The 14,401-nt window shown below is 38.7% G+C and overlaps 1 protein-coding gene across 7 annotated transcripts in view; it reads left to right on the forward strand.

The window, feature by feature from the left end:
* The window catches only part of ANKRD30A (ankyrin repeat domain 30A), a 140,297-nt gene continuing 133,286 nt past the window's right edge, over window positions 7,391–14,401 (forward strand). For 6 of the 7 annotated variants that reach the window (XR_007062015.1, XR_930524.4, NM_052997.3 and 3 more), the window contains exons 1-4: window positions 7,391–7,801; window positions 11,686–11,800; window positions 11,998–12,171; window positions 14,033–14,139. Coding sequence is in view for 5 of the 7 variants with exons in the window: in NM_052997.3 (NP_443723.3) it covers window positions 7,581–7,801; window positions 11,686–11,800; window positions 11,998–12,171; window positions 14,033–14,139 (617 nt within the window). In the remaining 2 variants the exon portion in view is untranslated. The remainder of the gene's footprint in view (window positions 7,802–11,685; window positions 11,801–11,997; window positions 12,172–14,032; window positions 14,140–14,401) is intronic. The other variant, XM_047425992.1, reaches the window with a different exon arrangement.

Below are 14,401 nucleotides of genomic sequence, written 5' to 3' on the forward strand. Positions count from 1 at the left end.
AATTAATTTTTTACAGACAATGTACATTTTTTCTTCATTCAAAAGAAAAATACTTGATTAGACCTTATGAGGAGAAAATGTTAATCTCTTACAGTTTTTAATTAAATAAAATAATTTGAGGCTATTTTTATAAATTAAGGCCATCAAGAAGGACTCCAGACTCTAAAAAGATTCCAGACATTTTCTATAAATATATTTTAAATATGTTTATATATATTTATTTATATGTGTGTGTGTGTGTTTGTGTGTGTGTGTGTGTATAGTTGTTTTCATAGTAGATTTACACCACTGCCATCTGGGAGTAATTCCCTTATTCAATACAGAAGGATTTCTCATCCTTCTCCTAAATATTTTCTTCTAGCTCAGAGTGCCTGTGGCCAAAAACAAGAGATTTTAAAACAACAACAAAAACAAAAATTTCTTCATCCCCATAGGGGTTAGCTTTCTTTTCTAGTCTTTTTACTTGAGTTAAAACATTTCCTTTGAATTTAGACTGACAAAGATATTGAAGGACATCTAATGTCGTTTAGAACACTGCTCCTGTGCCTGTGTTCACTAGTTCCTCAAGTGGAGGTGATTGGAGATATTAGAAGAAAGGAATAAACTAGGGTAGCTCATATCACCCATTCCGTGTTTTTTCTCTTTAGGATGTGCCAGCCTGCAGTGAAAATGAATTCTGTTCTGCCTCTGCTATGCTGTAAATTTAGCAATAAAGTTTCTGCTCCATATGTGACCGACTAGGTAAGGGTACCATGTAATGGAGTGTAGTGTAGGAAAATCCCTGTTGCTAAGCACCACGCCAACAACACCGTGAGCTACAAAGCTCACATGTTTATTTGATTATGCTTTACTTCTGTATCTATCTTGAATTGTTCAGTATTCAGAGAAAACAGGAAAGTAAGTTGTTAACATTCTTCATTGCAACAAATTTTTTAGAACTAATTCTATATTGAGGAATGTCTTAAATTTTAACCAAAACCTTTTGATAAATTACAGAGTTGCTGAATATATCTAGATTTGAATCTTAAACTATATCTGTATCTATCATATAGATTTATATGATTTATCAAGAGCTATTATCGGGAATATATACTTGATTCCTTTTACAATTTTCATAATGTAACCAGAAAGTGACCCTTGAGATCCTTGAGAGTGATTATATAAACATACCCTTGATTTGGTGTCTCCAGCCTAATTATCACAGTTAAAATTTTGGTATCAAAAATGGAACAAAGATAATAAGACTTGTAAAGCAGCAGAACTTACAAAATGTTAAAAACAATTTTATTTACATAGTGCATCCACACAGACCTAATTATATGTATTCAACCTAACATTTAACATTATTAGCAAGTCAGAGACTTTAGAAAAATCAGACATAATTTTAGATAAAATAAATATTAATACTAGTTATTAATATTAATCCCTATTTGATTAAATGACTCTATATGAAAATAACTGCCCTTGAATTATTTTCAGCTCACAAATTTTTAATGACAGGAGATGGCAGCTGGGCACAGTGGCTCACGCCTGTAATGACAGCTCTTTGGGAGGCCAAGGTGGGCGGATCACTTGAGGTCAGGAGTTCGAGACCAGCCTGGCCAACATGGTGAAACTCTATCTCTACTAAAAATACAAAAAATAGCTGGTCATTGTGGTGGGTGCCTGTAATCTCAGCTACTCTGGAGGCTGAGGCAGGAGAATCACTTGAACATGGGAGGCGGATGTTGCAGTGAGCCGAGATCATGCTACTTCACTCCAAACTTGGTGACAGATCAAAACTCTGTCTCAAAAACATAAATAAATAAGGAGATGGTATGTAATCAGTATTAATTTTGGGCCCCTCATGTTAGCTAATATGTTTAAGCCTAGGACAAAATAGAAACTGACCGAGATTATTAGCATGTTTCAGTGCATAATATTTTAAAATAATTCAACGCTGACACATAATACTATACTATTCCACTTAGTTATTAAAAAATGGTAAGAGAAGTCTCACGTTCTTGTCCTGGCATGGTGGCTCACATCTGTAATCCTAGCACTTTGGGAAACCAAGTGGGGAGGATCCCTTGAGCCCAGGAGTTTGAAACCAGACTGGGCAACAGTGAGACCTATCTCTACAGAAAATTTAAAAACTAACTGGGCATTGTGGCAAGCACCTGTAGTCATAGCTACTGGGGTGGCTGAGGTGGGAGAATTGCTTTTCCCAGGAGTTTGAGGCTACAGTGAGCTATGATCACATCACTGCACCCCAGCCTGGGTGATACAGTAAGAACCCTGTCTCTTAAATAAACAAACAAAAAATAATCCCAGAACTCTAATGTTCTTGTATGATATAGGACTTTTAAAAATTAGCTGGGCATGGTGGCGCATGCCTGTAGTCCCAGCTACTTGGAAGGCTGAGACACGAGAATCGCTTGAGCCTGGGAGGCAGAGATTTCAGTGAGCCGAGATCACGCCACTGTACTCGAGCCTGGGTGATAGAGCGAAACTCTGTCTCTAAATAAATAAACGATTGAATGAATGAATGAAAGTATACCGAAAGTTTTAACTTAACAAATTTTATTTATGCCTCACATTGATGAAGTGATAAGAACTAATAATACTAATACACGTACAGGATATTTTACAAAAAAGTTTTTTTTTTTTAAATTAGACCCTTATGATATAGGAAATAATTTAATTTTTTATTTTTATTTTTTTGAGGCGGAGTCTCACTCTGTCACTAGGCTGGAGTGCAGTGGTGCGATCTTGGCTCGCTGAAACTTCTGCCTCCTGAATTCAAGCGATTCTCCTGCCTCAGCCTCCCGAGTAGCTGGGACTACAGGCATGTGCCACCACGCCCAGCTAATATTTGTATTTTTAGTAGAGACGGGGTCTCACCATGTTGGCCAGGATGGTCTTGATCTCTTGACCTCATGATCCACCTGCCTCAGCCTCCCAAAGTGCTGGGATTACAGATATGAACCACCATGCTCGGGTGCAAAGTGATTTAAATTTATCAACAATTTTATCTTAATGCAAAATTTTTGTCATTTGTGATATTTTCCAATAGCTTATCTGAAATCGTTAGAATCAGATTTCAAAATAAGATTTCAAAGTCAGAGTTCTTTGAAATCACAATTCAAAAATATTTAGATTTTAGAAAGGTAATGTGGTAAATATACTGCATATTTTGGAATATCCCTAGTGTCAAATCATATGAATAATCACATGAACTGGGATCAATAAAGACTACCCCTGGCCGGGTGTGGTGGCTCACACCTGTAATCCTAGCACTTGGGGAGGTTGAGGTGGGTGGCTCACCTGAGGTCAGGAGTTCAAGACCTGCCTGACCAACACGGTGAAGCTTTGTCTCTATTAACAATTAGCTGAGTGTGGTGGTGGGTGCCTGTAATCCCAGCTACACGGGAGGCTGAGGCAAGAGAATTGCTTGAATCCAAGAGGTGGGGATTGCACTGAACCCAGATCGTGCCATTGCACTCCAGCCTGGGCAACAGAGCAAAACCTCTGTCTCAAAAAACAAGACTATAATACTCCTACATCAGCATAGATCAGATTTTACCAAACTTACGTTTAGATATTCATAAATGTTGAATTTTGTAATTCCATATGAAGAATTATAGATCTGCATATATTTTCAAATATTAATAGTTATAATTCCATAGTTTATAAGTCAAATTTTTGGTTATTTTCATTATTAATACTTTTCCATTCATCTACCCTTTCTAACAGAGAATACAATATGTTTCTTTTCTTCTTCTTTTTTTTGAGATGGAGTCTTGCTCTGTCCCCCAGGCTAGAGTGCAGTGGCGCAATCTCAGCTAAGTGCAACCTCCGGCTCCCAGGTTCAAGCAATTCTCCTGCCTCAGCCTACTAAGTAGCTGGGACTACAGGCACGTGCCACCACGCCTAGCTAATGTTTGTATTTTTAGTAGAGACTAAAATTTTAATTTTGTATTTTGTATTTTTAGTAGAGACGGGGTTTCATCGTGTTGGCCAGGCTGGTCTAGAACTACTGACCTCAAGTGATCCACCCACCTCAGCTTCCCGGAGTGCTGGGATTACAGGTGCGAGCCACCGCGCCTGGCCAATAATACAATATGTTTCTAAGTTGATAGTCTATCATTTATCCACGTTTCTATGGTGAACTTAAGTAATTTCTAATTTCTCCCTATTGGAAATAATGATGCTACAAATAATTTCATTTATGTATATTTTTGTTCATTTGAACAATTTCCTTAGAATAAATTTCAAAGCATAAGCCACTAGATCAAAGAGAATTAAATCCTTTTATTTTTAAAAACATTGGCAGATTTCCTCCAGAAAGCACTATGCTAATTTACAATGCGCCCAGAAAAATATTACTATGCCTTTTGGTAGTACCAGACCATCGGTATTCCTTTCTTATGCCTGTTTAATAGTGTAGGATGGTTCATTTACTCTTTTTTATATTAGCATTTATTTAATTGCTACTAGTGAAAAGAACACAGTCCCATATATACATGTATGTATTAAATGTGCGTTCATTTTCTTTATCCTTTTGTTGATCAAGGTCTTAGTGGTGGCCGTGTATAGTTGAATATGTTTTCAGTTATTAACGCTTCATCATGTTATAGTTACTTTGGTCATTTTACTGATGCTTAATTGGTAAGAATCAATTTCACTAGGGATAAAACTCAGAAGAACAGAAATTGTGAGTTCCTTTGTGAAGATCCAAGGACCTCAAGTACCCCAGAATAGGCAAGAACAATCATTCCTATTTTTTATCTTCAGTGGAAAAAAGAGCCCATTATACCTTTCTAGCCTATTCTGGAATAAATAGCAATTAAATTTTAGTTAGTGTAAACTAACAAAGAAAACACTGTAAGTTAATGAAATGTAGTCTCTACAATTTGTTAGACTTTTTATTTTTTATTTTTAGTTAGACTTTGTTTTTGAGACGGAGGCTCGCTCAGTTGCCCAGTCTGGAGTACAATGGCTTGATCTGGCTCACTGCAACCTCGCTTTCCAGGTTCAAGTGATTCTCCCTGCCTCAGCCTCCCTAGTAGCTAGAATTGCAGGTGTGCAGCACCACTCCCGGCTATTTTTGGTAGAGACAGGGTTTTGCCATGTTGGCCAGGCTGGTCTCCAACTCCTGACTTCAGGTGATCTGCCTCCCTCAGCCTCCCGAAGTGCCGGGATTACAGGCCTGAGCCACCGCGCCAGGCCGCAAGCTAATTTTTGTATGTTTAGTAGAGACGGCTGTTTCTACTAAACATGTTGGCCAGGCTGGTCTCGACCTCGACCTCAGGTGATCCACCGGGCTTGGCCTCCTAAAGTGCTGGGATTACAGGCTAGAGCCACGGCGCCCGGCCAGCATTTATGTTACTTAAATTACAAAGTAACTGGCCGGGCGTGCTGGCTCACGCCTGTAATCCCAGCATTTTCAGAGGCTGAGGCAGGCGAATCACCTGAGGTCGGGAGTTTGAGACCAGCCTGACCAACATAGAGAAACCCTGTCTCTACTAAAAAGAAAAAATACAAAATTAGCCGGCATGGTGGCACATGCCTGTAATTCCAGCTACTCAGGAGGCTGAGGCAGGAGAATCGCTTGAACCTGGGAGGCGGAGGTTGTAGTGAGCCGAGATCACACCATTACCTTGTAGCCTGGGCGACAAGAACTAAACTTGTCTCAAGAAAAAAAAAAAAAAAAGAAAGAAATTGGCCAGGCACGGTGTTTCACGCCTGTAATCCCAACACTTTGGGAGGCCGAAGCGGGTGGAACACGAGGTCAGGAGATCAAGAGCATCCTGGCTAACACGGTGAAACCCCGTCTCTACTAAAAATATAAAAAAAAAAATAGCTGGGTGTGGTGGCGGGCACCTGTAGTCCCAGTTACTGGGGAGGCTGAGGCAGGAGAATGGCATGAACCCAGGACGCGGAGCTTGCAGTGAGCTGAGATAGCACCACTGCACTACAGCCTGGGTGACAGAGCGAGACTCCGCCTCAAAAAAAAAAAAAGAAAAAGGAAAAGAAATTACAGAGGGGCACATTGGCTCATGCTTGTCTTGTAGTCCCAGCACTTTGGGAGGCCGGGGCAGATGGATCACGAGATCAGGATCAAGACCAGCCTGACCAACATGGTGAAACCCCATCTCTACTAAAAGTACAAAAATTAGCTGGGCGTGGTGGCACGCACCTGTAATCCCAGCTATTCGGGAGGCTGAGGCAGGAGAATCGCTTGAACCCGGGAGGCAGAGGTTGCAGTGAGCCGAGATGGCGCCCTTGCACTACAGCCTGGGCAACAGAGCGAGACTCCGTCTCAAAAAAAAAAAAAAAAAGTAACCAATGCAGGAAACCGAGAGGAGAGGTTTGGAAGGTGGTTTAGTGAGGTAATCCATCTTTTCTAGTGATAAACTGGCACCCAGTCAATTTATTCATCAGAAGGGAATACATCAGCCTGGCGTGGTGGCTCGCCCCCGACCCTGTCAGCGTCACCAGCAGCGCGGATCCATGGGCCAGAAGCCTCTAGGGCGCCTAAGTCAGGGGGTGGGTCCCCGGCTGCAGGAGGGCGGGAACGGACACTCAGTGCCACCGCGGAGGCTGCACGGTGCCCAGCGCCAGGGTCCAGCTCCTGGATCGCAGGTCGAGGAGGGGCCACGGGCGGCTCACTGAAACCTCCGCCTCCCGGGTCCAAGCCATTTCCCTGCCTCAGCCTCCTGAATAGCTGGTATTACAGGGATGTGCCACCATGCCCGGCTAATTTTGTATTTTTTTTTTTTTTTTTTTTAGTAGAGACAGGATTTCTCCATGTTGGTCAGGCAGTTCTGGAACTCCTAGGGTCAAGCGATCTGCCCCGCTCAGCCTTCCGAAGTCCTGGGATCAGGACTTTGCGATCCTGGGCAGATCGCTTGAGCCTAAGAGTTCCAGACCGGCCTCACCAACATGGAGAAACCCCGTCTCTACTAAAAAAATACAAGATTAGCCTCCACCGTGGACTCAGGTGCAGCTCCCACCTGAACATGGCACGCGGCAGCAGGGGCTGCAACCTCGACCCTGTCAGCGTCACCAGCAGCGCGGATCCTTGGGCCAGAAGCCTCCAGGGCGCCTAAGTCAGGGGGTGGGTCCCTGGCTGCAGGAGGGCGGGAACCGACACTCAGTGCCACCCAAGAGGCTGCACCGTGCCCAGCATCAGGGTCCGGCTCCTGGATCGCAGGTCGAGGAGGGGCCAGGGGCGGCTATGTCAAGCGGGCCATGTGGCATGGCGCCCCCCACTTTCCGCTCCAGGGAGGCCCGCCAGCCTCGCAGTGCCTCAGCGGCAGTTGCCACCTGCACGCGGTGCCCGGAGAACGCGGCCAGGGCGCGTGTCTCCTCAGCCTGCTGAGCTGCGCATGCGCTGCTGGCTAACGGCTCTGCTCAGCGCGATTCTACTGAGAGAGGCCTGAGTGTGCAAGAGCTTGGCGAACACAGAACTTTTTACGGGTATCGAGGCGGTGCGTGGACTGAAGAAGGGCGAGGGCGATTGGGGAGGGGTGGGGGGTGGTGGCTGGGAAGGGCGATCGGGAGGCGCGGGCACTCTCTAGCAGGTGGCCGCAGCCATGGAGGAGATCTCTGCCGCCGCTGTCAAGGTCGTGCCGGGCCCGGAGCGCCCGAGCCCTTTCAGCCAGCTAGTCTATACCAGCAACGACTCCTACATCGTCCACTCTGGGGATCTTAGAAAGATCCATAAAGCTGCCTCCCGGGGACAAGTCCGGAAGCTGGAGAAGATGACAAAGAGGAAGAAGACCATCAACCTTAATATACAAGACGCCCAGAAGAGGTACCAGGCCCTGCCTGAGCCGGGGCTGCAGGAGGAGGTGGGGGCGGTGGGAGGATCGCCCCTTCAGAGTCGGGGGCTGGGGGGCCTGGGGAAGAAGGGAGCAGGTGGAGGAGTAACGGGCAGCGGGGCAGCCATCCTGGGCCCTCGGGTCTAGGCCTTCTTCCTGGGCAGGCCCCCAGGCTTGGGATGCGGGGTCCCTGCAGGGCGGAGGGCCCATGCCACCTTAAAATCAACCCCAAACTTTAGCTGCTTTCTCCTTCACTCCCACTTCCTCTCACAGAGGACTGTGTAGAGAATTTTAAAGTGATTTAACTCACAAAATTAAGTACATACAGGGTTTTACATTTAATGTACAGGTTTTAAAAGATAATGTTAGATACATTATGAAATGGTGCGTAATGAAATAATTCCCATAATATATGTACTTCTTGGCTAAAAATTATCTGGATAGAGTCCAATATCCATTTTGATATCAATGAATGTCTATGTAAATATGTTCTTTGCTGAGGGACCTTAGAAGGAAACTTCGAGGTGGGAAGATGGTTTATGTTCTTGAATTTAAGAAGACTCATTTTTCTCAGGATGCGAGTTCTTTATCAGTTTTACATAAACCAAATAAAGTTATCAACGTTTTAACATTTTTTAAATTACACAGGCTGTCTTTTACTATTGTGATGACATTTTAAATATTTTGTAATGGAGTAAAAAAGTCTTGCCCTTCTAGATATCAAAATGTGGTATTAATTTGCACAAGATGAGCCGGGAGTGGTGGCTCACGCCTGTGATCCCAACACTTTGGGCTGCGGAGGCAGGTGGATCATCTGAGGTCAGGAGTTCAAGATCAGCCTGGCCAATATGGTGAAACGCCGTCTCTACAAAAATACAAAAATTAGCCGGGCATGATGTCGGGTGCCTGTAATCCCAGCTACTGGGGAGGCTGAGGCGGGAGAATCGCTTGAACCCGGTAGGCGGAGATTGCAGAGAGCCGAGATCCCACCACTGCAATTCAGCCTAGGTGATAGAGTGAAACTCTGTCTCAAAAAAAAAAAAAAAAAAAAAAAAAAAAAAAAAAAAAAATCACAAATTGTTCGCTAACAGCTGAAAAGACAGGTAAATAAATACAACAGAATAGAAAATCCACAAACACCCAAATATATGTAAGAATTTAGAACTTGGTAATGGTCACACTTTATACTAGCAGGAAAAGAATTAGTTTCCTAAGTGAAATGCCTGCTTTTTGGAGAAAACTAGATTTTTGTGCCACAAAATAAGTTCCTGATGGAATATAGATTAAAAGTTTTTAATGTACAAAATGATAAAAATACCGGAAGAAAATATAAATGCCTATTTACACAGATACATTTTTATCTTGACAAAACCTTTTTAAGAAGCTCAGAAGCAAGCACTCTGAAGGGCAATTTAGTAAAACAGAAATTAAGTCACCCTGCATATGAGAAAAAATAAAGGGCAGCATACTTGTAAAAATATTTACTACATATGTATGTGTGTGTGTGTATACATATTAGATTTAAAAATCTTCGCTTTATAGAGAATTCACTCAAATCAACAAAAAACCCTCTAATTTAAAATTGGGAAATTTAAATTAGAGATCTAAATTGCAGATCTAAAAATTGGGCAAAGTCCTTTTTTAAGATCTGCAACTGACCTATGCACACAGGAAATAATATTTAGTGTTCCTGGTTAGAGAAGGCATTTAAGTTAAAAAAGGAATCAAATACTGTTTTCTATCCACAAAGTTTGTGAGGATAAAAAGCAGTGATATTTATAGTACTCCTTAAAGTTTAAGTTGCAGATGACTTTTCAAATAGACAATTTGATGGTAAGTACCATATTTAAAAAATTGTATATGCCCATTAGTGATCAATTCTATTATACTAAAATATTTTTAGAAAATAATGAAACATACATGCAATTTCTTTTCTGAGCACTTCTTAAAATATCAGTGTATTAAAAAGAATCCATTTAATGGCTTTTATAAATACATTTCAGTGAGTTTACAGCATGGGATAATAGTTGACCACTCAAGGTAGAAATATATACAGAAGTATGTTGACATTTGAAAATGTATTTTGGTGTACCAACTGAGGGTAAAGTTCAGTTTGACTATACATACACATAGACTATGGTCTTGTGTTATCTGAAATTATGTACAAAATATAAAATTTGTTATTTGAGGACATTTGTTTTAATATAAAATGTTTTTCCTTTTTATTATCTTTGATTTATGCATTGAGCATGTACAATGCTATTAGTAAAAGTTTATTGTTAATAAAATAATTTTTGGGAAGATCAGCAATGTGAAATTTGCACAGATAAAAATAGTTTCTCACTTTCTATGTTTTAATTTTTATTTTTTGTGGATTAGTATATTCTGTGAACTTTTAGCATCTTCAGAAGAGAATCTTTTTATCTGTGCTTATTGATTTACATGTACATTTTATTAGACACATATTTTTATTATATATAGATTTATTACATATACGTCAATAACTACAGATTAATCATTTTAGTGTAGTTTTATTATTAGAAAAATAAAAGAGCAAATATAAGTGCTTTATTTATAGCAGTGTTTTAAGATATTGAACTTCTCAACTGTATTGATCCATTCTTTTAATCCATTTACCACATGTAAGCTGAATGCCTATTGTGTAAAAGATACATTCTATTAACTCTCAGGACCCTTTCATTCTTAAAAATTTCACATTTACTTGCTCAGCCTGAGCAAAGTGAGAGATTTAAAATTGGAGTATTAGGACTGAATCTCAATGGAAACTTTTCCTCTCATCTTTCAAAAAAAAGCACTTCTGAAGTGAAAAACTAGTAAAATATAACTACCAACCGTGATTTTGGAAATTTATAATAGCTTTGAATAGTAATATTAATCATTGGAAATACCTAATTTACATGCATTCTATAAATCTAAATATGAATTTACATACATTCTGTAAATCTAAATACGGAATAAGATGAGCCATACCTATTTATTTGAATCCCAAGTTTTCTTTGGCTTGAAGCTTTAAAAATATTAAAGAAGTACTTTGTTTTAATAATTTGTTGTCTTTATTTCAACTCTCCTTTTGCGTAGTACTCTTAAAAGCTAACATTTCTTTCAGTGTTAATCCTGTGACTAGGACTGCCTCGTCCTGTTGTATATACCATATTCCACTTCTTGGAAGGCACTGTGAATTGTGTGATGCCTCCTTATTTTATGCACCAATAAAAGATTGTTTAAATTTCTGCCAAATATAGTTGTAATAAATAATGAACTATAAGTGGCATTTCAATGTCAGAAATGTTAAAATATGAGAAATTGAGCATCTTAGAATCATTAAAATACAGTGTTATCTCTAACCTTTAAAACACACCACAATGTAGTCATAATTGTACCATTTTACTTAAAATGCTGTCTTTGTTAAGTAGTAGTAATAATTATAATACCTAACAATTACTGAGCTGTTACATGTGCTAGGAACTCTTCAAAATACTTTGCATAGATTCCCATTGAGGCATCATAGTGATAACCTGTGAGATAACTGCTGTGTTCATCTTCATTTTGTTGATGAGAAAATTGAGGTGCAGAAAGTTTAAGTGACAGCTAGAAAGTGAAAGACCTTAAAGTAATATTCAAGCCCGAGTTGAACTGAATCCAAAGGCCAAGCTCTTTCTATTCAAATAGGCCACTCTTTCTTTAATGTAGTGAGTAATGAGAGCAAATGAATGTTGTACTTTCTTCAGGAGAATATTAAGTATTTGTTTTGAAGGCAGAGAAAGAGCGTGGTATTTAATGTTTACAGTTACATAACTCATTGTATGTTTTGGGACAGTGGACTAAACTTTGCCAAAAAGTCCTCTCACTCTCGTAGGACTGCTCTACACTGGGCCTGTGTCAATGGCCATGAGGAAGTAGTAACATTTCTGGTAGACAGAAAGTGCCAGCTTGACGTCCTTGATGGCGAACACAGGACACCTCTGATGAAGGTAAATAGTAGCCAGATTTTTCAGCAGGAGATGGATTTGGTTTAAATACATAGAATAAAAATGAATTTATCTCATTGAAATACAACTAGTTTTGAAACCTGTGGAATATTTATTTTGATTTCCTATAATTTATAATTTATAATAATTTATATTATAAATTATACAGTTTACAATAATTCTTGCTTTAATACTGACAGGCTCTACAATGCCATCAGGAGGCTTGTGCAAATATTCTGATAGATTCTGGTGCCGATATAAATCTCGTAGATGTGTATGGCAACACGGCTCTCCATTATGCTGTTTATAGTGAGATTTTGTCAGTGGTGGCAAAACTGCTGTCCCATGGTGCAGTCATCGAAGTGCACAACAAGGTAGACACTAACCAATGTTATTTTCAAAATATTTGAAATCCATTTGTTTTAACATTAACATATGTAAGGTTTTTTATATTTGGAAGCTCAAACATTCCTTGAATGAAAATAGTTTGAAAGAACTTAATTGTCTAAGATTTTACTTTAAATATTAATGTTTTTACAAGAACTATTAGAGAGTATGGATTTTCTCTGCATTTATGATAAATATTTGAATGTGTTAAAGGTAAAAACTTCTTCAAATATTCTTTCCCATCCAAGTTTTTTTTTCTTTCCAATTAGTGTAAAACTAGAGGAAAGCAAAAATTGCCTGCATAAATTGAGTCAACATGTAAAATTTAGGAGACATGCAGAAATCTGGATTTCCTCTTAAAGGATTGAATCTGGTGTCTCCAGCCCATATGACTGTTTGGTATGCTAAGAAGACATTCTAGCTTTACACAAAGCATATGTTTCCAGTTTGCTACTGTGCCCACCTAGTTACAACACTTACTCAGCTTACCTCTTTTGCCTCTGTAAATACTTCAGTTATCAATTCCTCTCTCATAGTATATTTTGGTAAAGATTTCAAGGTATTCAAGACAGTTGATAGGTATTTATAATATATAGTTTATATTTTACATTAATTCATTAATAATGGGGTTGACTTCTAGAATTTAGAGGACTTTTTAAACAATGATTTTTCTGTATATAAACTATAAATAATCATCTTCTATTAGAATGCCTTTAAGCCTTTTTAGATTAATCATGGTTATATTTGAAAGGTTATGCATGTTGCAGATAATATTATATCCTTCTCAGAATTGTCCCTTAAAATTCAAGTGTTTTAGTGGCTTTTATTATGCTAATGCATATAGATGAGTTAGAACTTTCATTAATAAGCCATTTTATTAATATTTTTGATATTTTGCCAAAAATTAAATAGCAATTACAATAGAAACCAGAATAAAAATGGATTACTGCATTTTAAGAAGTAGATATGCATTAGAATTTTAGGATTATCATTATAATTGAGAATAAACTTTTATACTGAATTTCTAATAGCTGAGATAAAATTCTATTGTCTTGTAATAGGAGAAACCCCATGGACCATTTAATAATAAGCAATCAAAGTTCACTTGAAGCCAATCTCTTTTAATTTGGAGTTGCTTCCTTAGTGACCCATGTAGAACAGGAGTGCCTGACATTGGCATCTGGGATCTTGGGATTATTGATAGAAGAGAATCAAGCGAGTTTGTATCACCCAGAGGAAACCTCCATTTTTCTTGGGAAGCTTTCAGAGTTGTATCCCTGAAATTCTAATTTGTCAAATGTTAATGTCTGCTGCAAAAATATATTGTCAAATAAGGAATAGTCAAAGTTCAAGTCATTTATTGAATACTGGACATTTAATTCACAGTTTTATAATATTTCTTGAACATAGATAATGGTAGAATATGTTGGGGTACAGTGCTTCTGGTAAGGTAATTATTCTTTGGAATATAGTTTAAGAAACACTAAATTAGAATACTACTTTAGTCAAAAACAAAGTATTTACTACTATGTCTTAGGGTTTAAGGATATAGAGATAAAAGATACAGCCCTTGCCCTCAAGAAGCTCTTGGTTTAGATGGGAAACCATAAAATCATTACAATATAATGATTTTTGGAGATAACCAGAGTTATGTGGTGATGCAGAGGCTGAATATTTACAGCGGAAGGTGCAGTGCATGGGAAAGCACAGAAAAGGGAGAAAGAAGGGACTGCTATTGATTTACTTTCTATTTTATGTGTTTAAGTTCATAAGATATTATATAAGGTATTCAGTTCAGCTGAGAAATATGTAATTTCATGAATTATAAATTGTTTTGCTATTTTACAGGCTAGCCTCACACCACTTTTACTATCCATAACGAAAAGAAGTGAGCAAATTGTGGAATTTTTGCTGATAAAAAATGCAAATGCGAATGCAGTTAATAAGTATAAATGGTATAGTAGTTCTTTTTTTATTAAAAAACACTTGAGTAGTGTTCTAGAGTAATAACACTCAAGTCAGAAATATTTAATAACATTTACTTAAAATTGTTAGATTATGTGAAAATATCAATACAGATTATCAGAAGAAAAGCAATTATTTGGACTGGTCAACATAAAGAACAGTATATAGTAGGACTTCTCTTATTATATTGACTGATTCCTATGTGTAATCTGATGTTTTTGGTTGCATTATCTTCTAAAGTGGTTCTGTATT

Source organism: Homo sapiens, chromosome 10 (assembly GCF_000001405.40).
Source record: "Homo sapiens chromosome 10, GRCh38.p14 Primary Assembly".
In the NCBI taxonomy this organism is placed as follows: Eukaryota; Metazoa; Chordata; class Mammalia; order Primates; family Hominidae; genus Homo; species Homo sapiens.